This window comes from Homo sapiens, chromosome 12, assembly GCF_000001405.40.
Source record: "Homo sapiens chromosome 12, GRCh38.p14 Primary Assembly".
NCBI classification, from domain to species: domain Eukaryota; kingdom Metazoa; phylum Chordata; class Mammalia; order Primates; family Hominidae; genus Homo; species Homo sapiens.
The window spans coordinates 89,213,052-89,232,153 of NC_000012.12; the positions used below are offsets into that span (position 1 = coordinate 89,213,052).

At 38.5% G+C, this 19,102-nt stretch overlaps 1 long non-coding RNA gene across 2 annotated transcripts, besides 1 other annotated feature; it reads left to right on the forward strand.

The window, feature by feature from the left end:
- Positions 1-9,327: 9,327 nt before the first annotated feature.
- Positions 9,328-16,959, forward strand: LOC105378255 (uncharacterized). 2 transcript variants are annotated; one of them, XR_945169.1, is made up of 2 exons: positions 9,328-9,369; positions 16,878-16,959. It is a non-coding gene; the product is annotated as an uncharacterized LOC105378255 (long non-coding RNA). The 2 variants fall into 2 exon arrangements; XR_945170.2 differs by lacking the exon at positions 9,328-9,369 and adding an exon at positions 9,631-9,701.
- Positions 17,968-18,168: a silencer, noted in NCBI's record as "peak1873 fragment used in MPRA reporter construct". NCBI's record gives its function as "represses an SCP1 promoter by STARR-seq MPRAs in K562 erythroleukemia cells {active_cell/tissue: K562}" and the evidence as "EXISTENCE:reporter gene assay evidence [ECO:0000049][PMID:32103011]".

Consider the following 19,102-nt stretch of genomic DNA (forward strand, 5'->3'; position numbering starts at 1 on the left):
CAAGGTCACATAGTTATTAAGAAGCAAAGCCCAAATTGACATTTTGGTCTCCAGACCCCCATTTAGGAGCTGTTTCTTTGTTGCATCTCTAAAGTTAGTAAGCCATAATTTTATATTATCATATCTAGGTATACGTTCATTTGTAAAAGCCCCTGGTTACTTAAGATCTTGAAAAAGAGTTAGGCTAGGCTTAGAATAAGGCAGAATTTCAAGCTGTTTTATATGTTCCCTGTGACAATGGCAAGAATCCAAGGTACATTTTGAAGACAAATAAAATGAACAGTATTTTTTTTTTTGAGACAGAGTCTTGCTCTGTCACACATGCTAGAGTGCAGTAGTACAATTTCAGTTCACTGCAACCTCTGCCTCCCAGGTTCAAGTAATTCTCATGCCTCAGCCAACCAAGTATCTAGGACTACAAGCACATGCCACCACACCCAGCTAATTTTTGTATTTTTAGAAAAGACAGGGTTTCACCATGTTGGCCAGCCTGGTCTCGAACTCCCGACCTCAGGTGATCTGCCCACCTCGACCTGCCAAAATGCTGGGATTACAGGTGTGAGCCACCATGCCCAGCCCAAAATGAACAGTATTTTTGAATTTCATAATAGTAATATCAAAGGCTAAAACTACTGCACATATTAGAAGCTCTGTCAGTGGAAAAAAAATCAAATTTCCCTGATCAACTTATAAACTTGAAACAAGTTTTTTCTAGGGCTCTCTCTTCACTGAATTAAATACTATGATTTTGAATGTTGAAAATACTTGAATCTTGCTTTTAGTACACACAGTTGTAGAGTTGTGCTTTTCCTTTTTTTTTCATTGTTTATTTTTTAACTAATGTGAGCTATCTTAAAACAGAGAGCTATGGTGAAAGGGCAATGGTTAAGCAACCAGAGAGATCAGGCTTTGAACCCAGGCTCTACCTGGATGATCTGAGTAATTGATTTACTGAGAGCGTTATCTACTTAAAGGAAGCAAAACTATCATTGCTTGATTCCCACCAGAGTATGGAGGCAAGCCTGGAAAATAAGACATTTAAGAAGAAAGAAACAGTATTCTTAATTAAGGAGGGGTGCAAAATAGTGAAGACCACTGGAATTCAGCAGTTCTAATTCACTAAAGTCATTTCAATCTTTCAGGTAGCCTTTTGAAATAATCAAAATGCTATGGAAGAATGTTGTACTTTAAATGCTATGAAAGATGCTATGTTCCATAACATTTAAAGTACAACATAATGTTGTACTTTAATGCCAGTCATTGCCTGTGGCCCACAATTCATTTTCAGAAAGTCCATCCTGCTTGTACCAAGTGACACTTAGCACCCAATCTGATGGAAAAACACCCACCCAATGGAGAATCCATCCATAATTCAGCAAATCAGATTCTCTGACCTGGGTATATAGAATTTAGCATTAGCAACTGAGACAGTGAGATGAGAGTTGCTTGAAGGTGGCAGGGACACATTGACAGGTGTAGGACCAAAGTCAGGGCTGGACCCATTCAAGCAAAAGCTATGTCTAAGCAGAAGTTAAATGGAGCGGGGCAACCATGAGTAAGGTGGTAAATATGAAAAACACAATTAAGCACGTAAGAGGAGAAAAGTAGAGTCAAGAGGCTAGTAGTTCAGCAAGAGAAGAGAGTGGATTCAGGTACTGATTTTGCAGTCCCGGGGCCTTTCATGTCCTGGTTGTACTTTTTTCCCTCCAAAGTTTTCAGAGATGCCCTACTATCCTTTCAGCAAATTTTACTAAAACGTCTGAATGGCTTCCTGTCTCTTAGAAACAAAAGGCCATGAGCATAATGCTTTTTTTAATAAAGAGGCAAGACATTGATTAAATTAATAAAAATACATGCCAACAAGTCAAAGAATGAATTAAAAGCCACATGGGTGAGAGCTGGCAGAAGCAGAGAGTTGGCATGCAATCAGAGATGGGTGAGGTTCACCAGAGAGCTCTCCCAAAAGAAATGAACTGAAGCAAATTTGGAAAGAAAGAAGGTGATGTGTACAGTGAGAAAGGTATTTGGGGAAATATCTGCAAAAGATAATAAAGATCAAACCTCTGAAAGTGAGTTCAAAACCTGGCTAGTAAAATTGACTAATCTTTCAAAGAAATAAAAAATTTTAAACTAATTTTATTTCTAATGTAATATCTTCTAACCTAATGAAGATATTTTTAAATATTAAATTACATTGAAACTCATTTTCTCCAGTTGAATGAAAGTAGTTTGTTTTTACTAATTTTGATGTTTTTAAGTCCAAAATCAAGTGTGCCCTTAGTGTCTACTCAGCTGCTATCAACTTTCAGTGTGTCAAGTATTTACATATTCAAGTTCTGCTTATGAAATTGACATACGTTTCCTAGTCCATGGCTCAATTAGCAAAAAGAAGAACTGTTCTTATGATAAACATTCAACCAGTTTTAATGTTATGACTTAACAATTTAATTTTCTAATAGTTATCAAGTCTAACATTTATAACTGTTAAAACACCTTGACATAAAAAGATACATATTATTTATTTTAAATTCCAGTGTTGGCTTTGCCTCAAAAAAAAAGTATATACATTTCATATTAGGAGGATGCAATGGATTATCAAAAAAAACCATATGAGAGTCTTAGAGCCATGACCGTGTTTGACACAAGTGTTATATGTCACCAGCATGAACAGAGAGTTGACGGATCAATCAATAATTACTAGCAAAGTAAGAACAAGTGATTCTAATGTGAAGGAAAGAAAATGGATGAGAACAGCTGTTGTACAGCAGAGTCTTCCCTTTTGAGTTACCAGAAAAAATCATAAAAGCCATAGTAAAGCCCAACTGCAGCTACCAATATCTTGCTATCATTTGCAGAGGTAGTTTGAACTTATTAAGTTATGACTTCAGGTCATTCATTTGTTCCACAAATATTTATGGAGTTCCTATCATGTGCCAAGCTCTGAGTGCACACTGATGAATAAGAGGCTCTCTTTGTGGAGATTATGATCTAGGGAGGTATGGGACCTCCTACATAAAATTACTTCAGTGTGACATTCCCCAATCATGCCTCTGTGTCTTCTAATATACTGTCATTTCTCCACTGAGGACTGTCTTCCATACATAAACCACATACACAATGTGCAAGGGCACGCCCACAAGCATGCCTTCTTTAACTATTTCCAGTTCCTCAGTCTTCTGTATAAATATTACCTACACTAGGAATTTCATTCCTAATTCCCTTGCTTCTGATTTAAATGTTCCATCCTCTGTGCTCCTATATATCCTGTTAATGCCTCTATCAAAGCATGCATTGTAATGAATAATTTGTTGCTATTGTTACTTATTGTGGGCCTGCCCTATAAAGGCAGAGACCTGGATCTAGCACAATACTTGACACACAATAGGTGTCCCATAAATCTTCCTTAGATGGAAGAGCAAATGACCTATTGAGAAGCAGTGGTGGCTGATAAGCCAAAAAAGGAAACAATCTTTGACATTGAAAACATTGGTTTTAGTTTTAAAAGATTTTTATTTGTGAACAAGAAGAAAGGACTATTCATCTCACATTGTCTTAGAAGCTTGGAAACAAATTATATTTAATACTTGAGACTCTTCAGAATGTTATAGCCTGTCCTTCACCAACTCAGCACATTGATTTAACAGAAGTCCAGGAGTACAGTTAGTATTCCTTGTACTGATCTAGCACATGGCAAGCGTGTGTGCACACACACAAACACATGCTTATAGGGTACAAATCTTCTCCTTAGGTGAATTCACTGGATGTATAAATGCACACAAGGTATCACACAACAGATGTTCTACTGAGGAATTAAAAATACATAAATAAATCTTTAAATTTCAGAGGGAAAAAATCTATTTTAATAGTTTCCCAAGTATGAAATTTTAGCAGATGGTGCTAAATAACTTATCACATCTCTGGGACCTGGCTTATGCCACATCATGTTGGGCCACAGCTGAACAGCCTGGCCTCCTGATTTAAACGCAACCAAGCGATATATTTGGCATTTCTGTGACATTGAGTGAGAGGCTTTAATTCATGCCCAAGTTGCTATTACATAACCTGAACCACAAATGAGCTGAAGAAGTTATGTAGCATTCTGTCACTGTCATTAGAAAAAGTATTAGGCCCAGCGCAGAGGCTCACACTTATAATCCCAACACTTTGGGAGGCCAAGGCAAGAAGATCACTTGAGCCCAGAAGTTTAAGCCTGCAGTTAGGCGTGATCTTGTGACTGCACTCCAGCCTGGGTGACAGAGCAAGACCCAACTGAAAAAGAAAAGAAGAAAAAAAAGAAAAGAAAAAGAAGGAAAGCAGGAAGGCAGGAAAGCAAGAAGGCAGGGAGGCAGGAAGGAAGGCAGGCAGGTGGGCAGGCAGGCAGGCAGGCAGGCAAGTTCTAGTGTAGCAACTGCGAGAAGTAAGTTCTGCTTCTCCATCTTCATGGATCCTTTGCAGATTTCAAGTAATTTGGATTTGAATCATGAGTCATTAATGTGAAAGGTGCAGAGGAGACTGGGAATGTTTCTCTGTGCAGTTGAAAACTTGTAGGGGAGAGTTCAAAGCTTACAAAGCCTCCAGCAAAACTTGAGCAATGGGAAAAGGTGATGAGCTTTCTAATCCTGGGCTTCTCAGTCTATGTTCCAAAGGATCCAAATAGGACTAAGGCACAGCTTATGTCACACCCCGGAGTCTGACAACACCCAAACAAACTGATCTGTACTCTGTTCAACGGACAAACCCACTAACCATGCACTTGCAAGTCAGGGCAATGTCAAATTGCTATAAAAATGCTACATACTTACTATTTCTGTACTTTTTTTATTGCAGACAGATAACAAATAGTCCAATACTAGTCTGCAGGCCACGTTATGAGTGGCACTGGTCTGAAACTTTTGGGGTTTTTCTCCCTAATTTTAGGTTTACTACAAGGACCAAGCAAAGAAGTTGAAGGTAATTGATGATGATTTCTTCATAGTTTGTAGGCAATAGTCAGCTTATTGTACTTAGTCTAATGAATATTGAGAGCAAAAGATAGTTAACAAGGGACTAGCTTGAAAAATAGACTGCTTAGAACCCCTGAATGGGCAGTAAAGCAGACCTGCTTGTTTGCAGCAGCAGTGGCCATTTTTAAGGGTATTTATCTAGGAAATTATTAAAGAGGAGAAAACAAAAACATGCAGATCCAGTTGAGAAACCATCCTTACCAAGACGTGTGAAAGCTACAAAGATTACATCAGAAGTAAGAGGACATTTATCCTGTCTGCTGTTCGTCCCCTCTCTCTCTTTTCCTATGCCTTTAGTTTTCTAAATAAGAGGCCATAAAGAATAATTATTTAATATGGTTTGGCTCTGTGTCCCCTACCCAAATCTCACCTTGAATTGTAATAATCCCCACATGTCAAGGCGGGGACCAGGTGGAGATAATTGAATCATGGGGGCAATTTTCCCCATGCTGTTCTCATGATAGTGAGTGAGTTCTCATTTGATCTTATGGTTTTATAAGAGGCTTCCTCCTTCGATCGGCACTCATTCTATCTCCTACCGCCCTGTGAAGAGGTGCCTTCCACCAGGATTGTAAGCTTCCTGAGGCCTCCCCAGCCATGCAGAACTGTGAGACAATTAAACCTCTTAGACCAGACTAATACATTATTAATTCATAGGACTTAAAGGAATATTTATGAAGATAATAGATTTAAAGTGTTTTTTCCAGGCTGTGCTAACTCCCCCCTAAAATACCTGGGATGACATAAAAAATGACAAAAGACAAAATTTGTTATATCTCTATGAACTAAAACTGGCAGCCTGCCACAAGAATCTAATGGGGATTTCTATTCAGTCCAACAACGGGGCTGGATTTTTAAAATTCAGAGCCTACCCATGCTTCATCTGTTCAAACATAATATCTTAGCCACTTAAGAATCTGAAAAAATAACAAGTAGGAGTTCCCAGCTGATTCTCTAAGTTCTTCCTCCCGTCTCTTTTCTCTGACTTCTAGACACACAGACCTGTGTTTCCTGCTACTATTTGGGATTTTGAGGCAGCTAAAATCCATCGGCTCTTCTCTCTGCATTATCCTTCAACTATTTGGAGACCAATTAGAAGAGAAAAATAGGTGAACGTTCTAGAAATGGATGTACAGAAAGCATTCCAGCCATTTGTTTTTGGAATTGTAGATTTCCAAGTACTCTTATCTGTAGCAGGAGTTCCCAAAATAAAGTTCATAGAAGAAAGGATATTTTTAAAGATTTTGCAAATAAAGAATTTGGGGAAGAGATGCATTCCCTATCCCTGGGTGTTCAAAATGCATGTAGTAATTTTGATATTCTGCAGGAAGCAATCATGTTTAAATTTTTCCCCAGGTAAAGTTCATAGAAGAAAGGATGTTTTAGAAGATTTTGTGAACAAAGAATTTAGGGAAGAGATCCATAGCCTCTTCCTGGATGTTCAAAGTGCCTGTAACAATTTTGTGATATTCTGCAGAAAGTAATCATGTTTAAATTTTTATCCATCATTGCCTAAGTCCTTTTGCCTGGAAAATAAGTTTCTCACATAACAACTCTTAATACCTTACATAACAAGCATTTTTCAGAAAACACATCAAGAAAAGCTTGTTGAGAGAATAAAAAAGTAAGGATAAGTCCTGGTCCCTTTTCTGTGCACAAAGCTGCCCTAGATGAATGCCTGGCTGATCCTGAGAGGTGGGCAAGGAGAACTGTCCAGCAAGTACTAGTATAATCAAATTATCCTACAGTATGAATCTGAGGAGTGAATTTGTCAAGTACCAGAAGTGTCCATGAGGAAAACCTAAGTCAATCCACACACCCTGCCTGATCACAAAGACTGATTTAAAAAAGAGACTTCTCTCTGTTCTAGTATGAATAAAGAGAAAACAATTTAAAGTCTATAAATTAAGGTCTAAATAGAGGAAAGAAACATCATCTAGAGTACTCCATAGGAGATCATTTTCTAGAAATAATTCTGAGAGCCAATGTTTTATTTTATTTTATTTTTTATTTTATACTTTAAGTTCATACATATGCAGAACATGCAGGTTTGTTACATAGGTATACATGTGCAATGGTGGTTTGCTGCACCCATCAATCTATCATCTAGGTTTTAAGCCCCTTATGCATTAGGTATTTGTCCTAATGCTCACCCTCCTTTTTCCTCCTCACCCCCCAACAGGCCCTAGTGTGTGATGTTCCCCTCTCTGTGTCCATGTGTTCTCATTATTCAACTCCCACTTATGAGTGAGAACATGCGGTGTTTGGTTTTCTGTTCCTGTGTTAGTTTGCTGAGAATGATGGTTTCCAGCTTCATCCATGTTCCTGCAAAGGACATAAACTCATTCTTTTTTATGACTGCATAGTATTCCATGGTGTATAGGTGCCACATTTTCTTTATCCAGTCTATCATTGATGGGCATTGACTGGGTTGGTTCCAAGTCTTTGCTATTGTGAATAGTGCTGTAATAAACATACATGTGCATGTGTCTTTATAGTAGAATGATTTATAATCCTTTGGGTATATACCCAGTAGTGGGATTGCTGGGTCAAACAGTATTTCTGGTTCTAGATCCTTGAGGAATCACCACACTGTCTTCCACAATGGTTGAACTAATTTACACTCCTACCAACAGTGTAAAAGCATTCCTATTTCTCCACACCCTCTCCCGCATCTATTGTTTCCTGACTTTTTAATGATCATCATTCTAACTGACATGAGATGGTATCTCATTGTGGTTTTGATTTGCATTTCTCTAATGACCGGTGATGATGAGCTTGTTTTCATATGTTTGTTGGCTGCATAAATGTCTTCTTTTGAGAAGTGTCTGTTCATATCCTTCACCCACTTTTTTTGATGTTTTTTTTTTTTTGTAAATTTGTTTAAGTTCCTTGTAGATTCTGGATATTAGCCTTTTATCAGATGGATAGATTGCAAAAATTTTCTCCCATTCTGTAGTTTTCCTGTTCACTCTGACGATAGTTTCTTTTGCTGTGCAGAAGCTCTTTAGTTTAATTAGATTCCATTTGTCAATTTTGGCTTTTGTTACAATTGCTTTTGACATTTTAGTTATGAAGTCTTTGCCCATGCCTATGTCCTGAATGGTATTGCCTAGGTTTTCTTCTAGGGTTTTTATAGTTTTAGGTTTTAGGTTTAAGTCTTTAATCCATTTTGAGTTAATTTTTGTATAAGGTGTAAGGAAGGGGTCCAGTTTCAGTTTTCCAGTGTGGTGTTATTTCTGAGGCTTCTGTTCTGTTCCATTGGTCTATATATCTGTTTTGGTACCAGAACCATGCTGTTTGGGTTACTGTAGCCTTGTAGTATAGTTTGAAGTTAGGTAGCATGATGCCTCTAGCTTTGTTCTTTTTGCTTAGGATTGTCTTGGCTATAAGGGCTCTTTTTCAGTTCCATATGAAATTTAAAGTACTTTTTCTAGTTCAGTGAAGAAAGTCATTTGTAGTTTGATGGGAATAACATTGAATCTGTACATTACTTGGGTCAGTATGGCCATTTTCATGATATTGATTCTTCCTATCCATGAGCATGGAATATTTTTCCATTCATTTGTGACCTCCCTTATTTCCTTCAGCAATGGTTTGTAGTTCTCCTTGAAGAAGTCCTTAATGTCCCTTGTAAGTTGTATTCCTAGGTATTTTATTTTCTTTGTAGCAATTGTGAATGGGAGTTCACTCATGATTTGACTCTCTATTATTGGTGTATAGGAATGCTTGTGATTTTTGCACATTAATTTTCTATCCTTAGACTTTGCTGAAGTTGCTTATCAGCTTAAGGAGTTTTGGGGCTGAGATGATGGGGTTTTCTAAATATACAATCATATCATCTGCAAACAGAGACAATTTGACTTCCTATCTCAATACCCTTTATTTCTTTCCCTTGCCTGATTCCCCTGGCCAGAACTTCCAATACTATGTTGAATAGGAGTGGTGAGAGAGGGCATCCTTGTCTTGTGCTGGTTTTCAAAGGGAATGCTTCCAGCTTTTGCTCATCCAGTATGATATTGGTATGGGTTTGTCATAAATAGCTCTTATTATTTTGAGATATGTTCCATCAATGGCTAGTTTATTGAGAGTTTTTAGTTTTGGCCTTTGGATGGGTTTTTTGTGTGGGCATCCTTTTTGTTGATGTTGATGTTATTGCTTTCTGTTTGTTAGTTTTCCTTCTAACAATCAGGCCCCTCTTCTGTAGGTCTGCTTGAGTTTCCTGGAGGTCCACTCCAGACCCTATTTGCCTGGATATCACCAGCAGAGGCTGCAGAACAGCAAAGATTGCTGCTTGCTCCTTCCTGTGGAAGCTTCATCCCAGAGGGGCACCCACCTGATGCCAGCCAGAGCTCTCCTGTATGAGGTGAGGTGTCTGTCAACCCCTGCTGGGAGGTATCTTCCAGTCAGGAGGTATGGGGGTCAGGGACCCACCTGAGGAGGCAGTATGTCCCTTAGCAGAGCTTGAGCGCTGTGCTGAGAGATACTCTGCTCTCTTTGGAGCCAGCAGGCAGGAACGTTTAAGTCTGCTGAAGCTGCACCCACAGCCGCCCCTTCCCCAGGTGCTCTGTCCCAGGGAGATGGGAGTTTTATCTATAAGCCCCTGACTGGGACTGCAGCCTTTCTTTCAGAGATGCCCTGCTCAGTAAGGAGGAATCTAGAGAGGCAGTCTGACAACAGCTGCTTTGCCACACTGTGGTAAGTTACAACCAGTCCGAACTTTCTGGCAGCTTCCTTAACACCGTAAGGGGAAAACCACCTACTCAAGCCTCAGTAATGGTGGATGCCCCTCCCCCAACCAAGCTCAATTGTCCCAGGTCAACTTCAGACTGCTGTGCTGGCAGTGAGAATTTCAAGCCAGTGGTTCTTAGCTTGCTGGGCTCCATGGGAGTGAGACCTGCTGAGCAAGACCACTTGGCTCCCTGGCTTCAGCCCTCTTTCCAGCAGAGTGAACAGTTCTGTCTTGCTGAGGTTCCAGGTGCCACTGAGGTATGAAAAAAAACTCCTGCAGCTAGCTCAGGGTCTGCCCAAACAGCTGCCTAGTTTTGTGCTTGAAACCCAGGGCTCTGGTCATGTAGGCACACAAAAGAATCTCCTGGTCTGCGGGTTGCCCGCCTTCTGCGTTGGTCTCTCTGGGAGCTGCAGACCAGAGCTGTTCCTATTCAGCAATTTTGGCTGTGTCTCAAGCCAATGTTTTAAATTGTAAAATTTCAGTGAAATACACAATTTCCATCAAATGACAATATAAAACTTACAGTCTAAATATATTTAATAGACCTAAAATAAATTGAATATCTATCAAAAATAAAACACTCTAGTGTTAACCAAATGTATAATTACATTCTTTTTTGTCTTTGGTTTTTGATGTTGTTGTTGTTGTTGTTTGCACAACACAGTCTTGCTCTGTCACTTAGGCTGGAGTGCAGTAGCACCTTCATAGCTCACTGCTGCCTCAAATTCCTGGGCTCAATCAATCCTTTTCCACCTTTTCGTCCAAGCTCAAAAATCTTTCTCAACTGCCGTTAAGATCACACTCACTCCCCAACCTGGATAATAACCAATTAAATGCTTCAAATAATCTTTCTCTGTCTTTTGACCAGGGCTTCAACTTCCACTTAAAAACCTGAACTTGACACCTTTTTGCTTTCTTAGTGGAGTTAATTAGGGAATAATTTTAGGCAAAACAAATCCATTGAAACATACAGTGATTATATAGATAGCAAATAGTAAACATTTGCAGAAGACAATGAAATGAAATGTTATACTGCCCACTTGTAGGCATAGTTTTAAGCATCTTACAGAGAAATGAAATTGATTGAATTTTTACAAAAGTCTCATGTGATTAACACCTTCAAGAGTAGAGCCATCTTCAGAGAACCCAGAGTCACGAAGCTCAGAGATTCTCCCCCGGCATTAGGAAGATACCTTTAAATTTAACCCAAAGCTTGCATGGAGTCATCAGAGATCTGCACTTTCTTTCAAAAGAAATCAGCCAAATTATTTTTCTTTCATTTTTTTTATCTCATCATGAAATGAACATTCAATGCTATATATTCCCTCCCACTAATAAGGCTAAAATTTAACCAGAAAGATGTAATCATACTTTTCATTTAATAATGTACTTTATGGATATTTCAGACTCAACCTCGACTAAAATTTCTTCTTTTGTATCTTTGTGATGGTTAATTTTATGTGTCAGCTTAACAAGGCTAAAGGATACTCAGAGAGCAGGTAAAACATTATTTCAGGGTGTGTCTGGGAAAGTGTTTCCAGAAGAGATGAGCATTTGAATCAGTAGGCTGAGAAAGGATGCCTTCACCAATGCAGATGAACACCAGCTAGTCCTTTGAGGGCCCTTTTAAGAAGAAAAAAGGCTGAGGAAGGATGAATTCACCTCTTGGCTTAAGCTGGAACTTCCATCTTCTTCTGCCCTCAGACACCAGTACTTCAGGTTCTCAGGCCTTCAGACTTGGACAGAGACTTACATTATTGCCCTCCCTGCCCCCACCACATTCTCAGGCCTTTGGAATCAGTCTGAGACTTACACATTTGGCTCTCCTGGTTCTCAGGCCTTTGGAGTTGGACTAAATTACACCGCTGGCTTTCCTGGCTCTCCACCTGGCAGATGGTATATCATGGAACTTCTAGGCCTCCATAATCACATAAGCCACATTCTATCAAAAATTCTTTTGTTCTGTTTCTCCAGAGAACTGTGATTAATACAAACATATAGTCCTTTTTCTGTGTAGTAATAGGTATGTATTCTTTCATCTGCCCAGCACCCTTCCCTTTTCTGGCACAGACCCACCCATTCCTATTTCCATCTTCCCTCACGCCACTACATGGTTCCCATGAGAACTGCCAATCACAAGAGCCCATCCACTGTGCAGAGAGGCTGCGTGTGACCTGAGCTGGACCTTCCTGAGTATCTGCAAATTGGGACTTACAAAAACGGGACAATCCTTCTCTGATATCAAGGCTTAGGATCTGAGTCTGAGAAGGAGGTAACCTTGTGGAGGAGGTCTGTAGGAAAACATGTCGAAAAGAAGTGAAAGTTAAAAGAGAGAGAGACTGGAAGGCATGTAAGTCTCTGTTTCCAGTGATCCTGCAGACCCAGTTCTCTCCTTTGCTCTTCCCTTTTGCCTGCACTAAAAGGAGACATTTGAGGTTGCATTTCTGTTACTTGTATGAAAAGGGTCCTATTTAATATAGATTCTCTCATTATTCCTTTCATTAAGGTTAGACTACGAAGAGGAAATCCCAGCCTAATTCATTTTTCATTTGATTAGCATATCTGGACCAAAAAAAAAGTTTAGTTCTAAGAAAATCTGAACCATTGGCCAATTGGTAGTAAGAGCTTCCATCACATCAGAGCTTCCATCCAGGCAGATCTTCACATGCAAAAGCTCTCCTTTGCTCTTCTGGCTCCTGAATATAGATGAGCTCACCAACGTGACCTCACTTCAGAGAGCACTCAGATGAAAGGAAGTGTGATGTCGGTGAGTCAAGGGCAGAGGCGAGACACCCGCCTCTCAACTCAAGTTTCCAGGCAGAGAAAACCAAAGAGGGGGGCCAGGTGCAGTGGCTTACGCCAGTAATCACAGCACTTTGGGAGGCTGAGGTGGGAGGATCACTTGAGCCCAAGTAGTTTGAAACCAGCCTAGGCAACATAGTGAGACCCCATCTCTACCAAAAAAAAAAAAAACTGGGACAAGATTCTAAAACCAGCTCACACTTCAGGCTGGTAACTCATGCTTTTGCTGCCTGTGGAAGTTCAGCCTTGAGGCCCTGAAGCTGACTCCACAAACAGCTCAGCTGCTCCCCTACAGTGCTCATTGCTTTATGCTGCAATAACAGCCACTCCTTTCTCTGGTTTGGGTCCAACAAACAATCCTTCCCTTCTCCTCTAATACCAACCTCTCTGTAGTGAGCTCATGTCCTCCCTCTCTCTTCCTCTCCCTCTGACTCATGGTGCTCAAAGCTTTAAGAAATAAAAACCTGTTGGACCAGCCAGACTGGAATCATCAACTTCAAATGGGCCAGCCCTTCCGTGAAAGGGAATCTCACTTTCATTGTTAGCACCAAGGCTCTGAATTACTTAACCTGGTCATGAAAAGCCCCAAACCCAATTCTTTCTTTCACCAGTTAAAAACAATAGTTGTTATATGTCTTTAAAAGGAAAAGAAAATACACCTTTAGTAAAACAAAATTACCCTGGTATTTCCACATCTCAAAAGCGACGTCATTCATGTAGTTTTAAAACTAAGCAATGAAGTGATTCCTTCTTCCCTGTAGTGTTTTTAAACATAGTTTTGTTTTGTTTTTTGGCTTTGGCTATGAAACAAAATATTTTAAGGGAGCCAAATTCAGAAATATAAGAGCCGTCAGCAGAAGGGATTTAAACACAATCATCTTGAAACTTGAAGCACCAAGCATAAAACCTGTATATTTTATTTTTTCAATAAATATTTACAGAATTTATCATAAAGTGGTTTTCCAGTGGAGAAATAAGGATGAGAAATAAAAATGTGTTACCAAATATTTGTGGTATAAAGGAGTCACTGTTGTCCAAACCAAAAAACAATTCGCTAGATCTCTAATCTCTCAGAATTTTTAAATAAAAACCCGGATTTTTAATCACTTTGCTGAAAAATAAAATCTTTATCTTAGGTATCAGGGCAAATAAAAGCATTTTGGGGGGTGGGGGGGGCTGTCTCTGTCCTCTGTAAGCAGGACCTTTAAAATTGAGTTGATATGTTATTACCTCGCTCTCCCAGACCAAAGATGATTTCATCAAACAATTCTTGACAGACTCAGGTGAAGTTTATTTTGCTTCTGACCCAGTGGTGATGTTCCTGTGAGATCTTGGTACATATAGTTCTTATGATAAATATCTTTAGATTTGTGCAGGAGAGCAGAAGAAAAGAATTTGTTGAGGCAAAATTCCTTGATTTGAATTTGAACCTGCACTCATCATTAGGCAGTCTATAAAACAAGGTGCAATCAAATAAATTGAGCATAGCAATATTTTTTCAGCATTATTGTCCTAACTGGCCAGCGAGCTTTGTGGATGGTTTTAAGTGGTTTGGCTGGTCTTTTCTGTAGAGTAGTTATCCATGAAGAGATGATTAGCTTTCAATTACATGTAATGAATGCTCACTTGGGTTTCTTTGCACAACCCCCTTTTCTTCCCCTATATTCAACCTCTGGGATAATGAACTCTCTATAAACTATCCCAGTACTCAACTAAAAAAAATCATGACAAGGAAATACAATCATATGGCTAGCTCTGTTGGTATTTGGTGAGTTCTTGGGAAAATCATTTTCGCTAAATATTATTGAAAATGCCCTGGCATAAAGCTTGTAATTGGATTGTTTGTAACTCAAAGGACAAATGCTTGAAGAGATGGATACCCCATTCCCCATAATGTGGTTATTTTACATTGCATGCCTATATCAAAACATCTTATGTACCCCATAAACATATATACCTACTATGTACCCATAAAAATTTTTAAAAATTGAAAAAAAAATTAAAGAACAAAAAACATCAGACAATTTAAAAAGAAAAATTTTTAAAAAAAGAAAAGAAAAGAAAATTCCCTGGCAAATTCCAGCCAAAGAAAGATCTAGAAAAAGCTATGGTTTACTACATATTTAAGCTCCTAAATAAAGATGTAGAAATGTAACCCCAGCCTACTGAGGGTTAGGTCTTCCTGTATTTTGAAATGAGAGAGGCCAGGCATGGTGGCTGTAATCTCAACACTTTGGGAGGCCGAGGCAGGAGGATCTTTTGAGCCCAGGAGTCCAAGACCATCCTGCACAACATGATGAGACCTCATCTCTACAAAAAATATTTTTAAAACTTAGCTGGGCGTGTCAGCACATGCCTGTGGTCCCAGACACTCAGAGGCTGAGGTGGGAGAATTGCTTGAGCCCAGGAAGTCAAGGTTGCAGTGAGCAGTGTTCACACCACTGCACTCCAGCCTAGGTGACAGAGCAAGACCTTGTCTCTAAAGACAAATAAATCAATGAAAGAGAGGCAGTGAGTTCTTTAATCATCTTTACATTTTACTTTAAAATTCACTGGCATGGTCCTTCCTGAGATTGATTCACTTCTGATAATGCTTCTTGTAAAGAAAAGCCAAGTAAAATCAAAATTGAGAATAAGATATATTAATGAACTGAAGTAAGTTTGCACAGCTACACAATGACAGAGAAGGGATTTTTAAACCCAAGTCTTTCTGATCCCAGAACCTACATGTGATTTTGCTACTTTGCCTCTTATGAGATAATGTGGATCTGATGCATACACAAGATCTCCAAATGTTTTTTAGCCCCTTTGATTTCTTTTTAAGGATAGTGAGCATTTGCATAGGCACTGCTGAGTGTTTTTGTCAAGGACATAGTACAATCCATTAAGAGAATCCAAGCAAATGAATTTCCAATCTGTCTTCGGTCATTCAGTTCTCTATTCTCCCTATCAATCTAAAGCAGCAAAATCTGATCATTCTTTCTATTCGCCTCTGGAATGTGTTTTTTGTATTTTGAAAATGAGTGCTTCTCATGTTCCAGTAATTCACACCAACTCAAATGTTTTAAACGAAGCCAGACTGTGAAGGAATTTGAGAGGAAGTAGAAAACTGCCAATGATTGCTCCCAACTCATCCCTGCTCACTCCATTCCATGCACAGCTGGCCTGAACATAAAGCACCATCCCAAATTTAGTATAAAATTCATTCTAAAGACTCTTTCATGTCATATCATCATCTAGCTGGATAACAATATGGGCTTTTAATTCCCTTTTCTAAAATTTTACACTATCCAAAAATTAAATCAAAATGTTTCTTCAGAATCTCCTGGTCTCTTTTTTAATTTGATGAAGCTAGCAGCTTGCATCCACTTACCAAAGTGACAAAAACAAGATGAAAAATGAATCTAACTGCTATTTATATACAGCATCACAACATGAGCTGTGTTTTCTAAGTCGGCTGAAAGGGGTGCAATCTTGTTGAGCATGGCCAGCTGCTTTCAAATTTCTTGATAAAAGTTTTCTTCAGGTGATTATCTGTCTTTTGAAGAGAAGGAGCATACTTCAATGCCAATATAGTGTTAACTTAAAATATTTACATGTAACACTCTAAGAGGTTACAATAGTTAACAAAGGAACACTACACAACAATAAAAAGGAGCTAACTACTGATACACACAATAGCACAGAAGAATCTCACAGACATTAAGTTGAGTGAAAGACATGGACTGGGGCCTGAAAAGGGTGGGATTGGGGGGAGGGCGAGCATCAGAAAGAGTAGCTAATGCATGCGGGGCTTAATACCTAAGTGATGGGTTGATCTGTGCAGCAAACCACCATGGCACACATTTACCTATGTAACAAACCTGCACATCCTGCACATGTACCCCTGAACTTAAAATAAAAATTGAAGATTTAAAAAAAACATTGAGTGAAAGAAGCCAGACACCAAAGAATATGTACAGCGTGATTCCATTTAAATGAGCTCTTTCACAGAACTCAAAACTGGTTAACTGGTTATCATAGTGTGGAGGCTAGGAGGGATATTGTCAGGGAAGGGATTGAAGGAAGCTTTGGTGCTGGAAGTGTTCTGTATCTCTATCTGGGTCCTGGTTACATGGAATATATATAACATATATTATATATATAATTTATATATACATAAAGTCATTGAGCTAAGTACTTTAGATTGGTGCTCTTTAAGGCCTTTACTCAATGTACTTTATATTTATACATGAGTGAAAATATTTTCTAAAAAGTTCAGCCTAGTAATATATCAGAAAAAAAGATGAAATGACTCATGCATTGAACTTTACTGACAACTTTGTTTTTTTGTGTTACAGAAACTTCTTTAAATGATACTTACAGACCTGCAATTCCTTATCTGCAGTTATGAAATCCATAAACAAAAAGCTTGAAAACCAACAATTTTCCAACGGACATGAGGTTATTTAACTTATTCCACATTCTACCTAGTACAAATATTCACATGTCTCACTATGGAAATATTAATCTTTAATTCTTGGGTATTGTTCATACCTTCATAGTGGTGCTACATAACATATAGTACATGTACATTATTATCTTTGTGACATTCAGAAGTGTTCCAAATTTCCAAATGCATCTAGTCCAATGGTTTAAGATAAGGATATTGTAAAACTTTATTATTTGAAGGTGCATTTGAAAAGGTCTAACTAGTATACTAACCCTGCGATTTCACAAATATTGCTTAAGATGAGGTTAAATCTATTTAAGTAAACTGTGTGCTGAGTTATCAAAAAAAAAAATTTAAGTAAATTATAAGGTGGGTCACAGCCTAAACTGGAAAAGTGGCACAGGAATAACTAAAGTTTAAGAAACATCCTTCTAGCATGTTCAAAAAGATTTCAACATGTCCATACAAAGGGCCCAGTCACCTACATAAGACAGAGGGAGAAGGCAATGACTTCATTGCATTTTTCCCAGCACCAAACATGACCTTGCAGAGGGTATCATTAAACAAAGGCTTGCTGAATTGAATTGAATCTCCAACATCCTGCATCCTTTGACCTCTGTTATACACCATTCCTGAAAAGGAAAAATGAACTTTTCAAAAAAATAAAGTTTAAGACCTTTGGGAAATAGTCTTTTGGTTTCATTTAGCTGATTGTAAGAAAAAATAGAATTACATCTTGGTTTTTACCTTTTAACTTTAGGGTATGTCTCTATTTGATGCTCTCAAAGACTCAGATAAATCACTAAGTCCCTACTGTTCATTCTGTTCATACAAGAACAAAAATCTTATGAACAACCCACATGAAATTCACCACTGACTCAGGCTTGCTCTGGCAAAAGATTTTCTTTTTTTGTGCTCACTCTACATTGCACCATAACTTTTGAACTACTGCTTTCATATTTATTCCCTTTATTTCCTTGTGTATTCCCCCAAGGAAAGGAACTCATTGTCTGTATTCTGCCCAAATATATTCTGGAAGCACTTGAAGTATTTGCCTCATGCCTCTGTATCAGTTTCAGGGCGATCATAAATCAACAGTCTGTGGACCAAGGTGCTCAGACCAAAAACATGCCTTTGAAAAACACATAGCATCGCTTTCCACAAGCAGCTGCAGCCTCTTATTAATGGCTCAGGAGTCTTTCACACCTCCTTTTAAATCCAGTGCATTTGAAGTAATAAAACAGGGAGCAGTTTATAGACAGGAAATATTAAAATATTTAATTGCTTTTTTTTTTCTTGGCACAAGACAGCCTCAAGCTTTCTATAACACACGAATAAGGGACACCTGCCCATGCTTGAATGGACATGAAACAGAGAATTGCTAAATTGGATACATCTGTGACTAAACCTCTGCTTTTAAACCCATATCAAGCTCATTTCTTTTTATTAGTTCTAACCATTTCCCTCCAATTACCTTTCATTTTCTTATTCCTTCTCCTTGTCCAGGTTACAACAAAACACAAAAGAATAAATTGATATCATACCCAAGAGATCCCCTAATCTATCCCAAACAGAAACGGCATACAACTTGAACCTTGAATATTATTCCCATTGTCCAGTTTTATAACCTAGACCATTAAACCCTTCTCAGACTCTAAATGTTAAGAATACTAATGGAATCACTAAATTTTTTCACAAGCCTCTGTATAGGGCAGAGAAAGGCAGCCTGTTGTCAAGTCCCAGCTCTGTCGATTGCTACTTGAATGACTTTAGGCATGTAACTTTGTTTTTCTGAGCTTCAGTTTCTTCCTCTGTAAAATGGAGATAGCTGGGTGTGGCTCTCACATGAGGTGGTTTTGAGCACTAAATGAGATATCAGTTGTTAAGCATTGGTATGGTATTTGGCACTCTGTGAGGCCACAGTGTCAGTTGTCCTTTTATTATGATCCAATCCAAAAACAATTGTTCATAAAGCAAAAGGAGATATGACAAGCATCCTTCTATAAACAACTAAAAGTAATACAATAGTCTCTTGCTATATTTGTATTGGCTTTTTTATTGCTACATAACACATTTCCACAAACTTATTGTTTAAACAACACCCATTGATTAGCTCACAGTTATGCAGTCAGA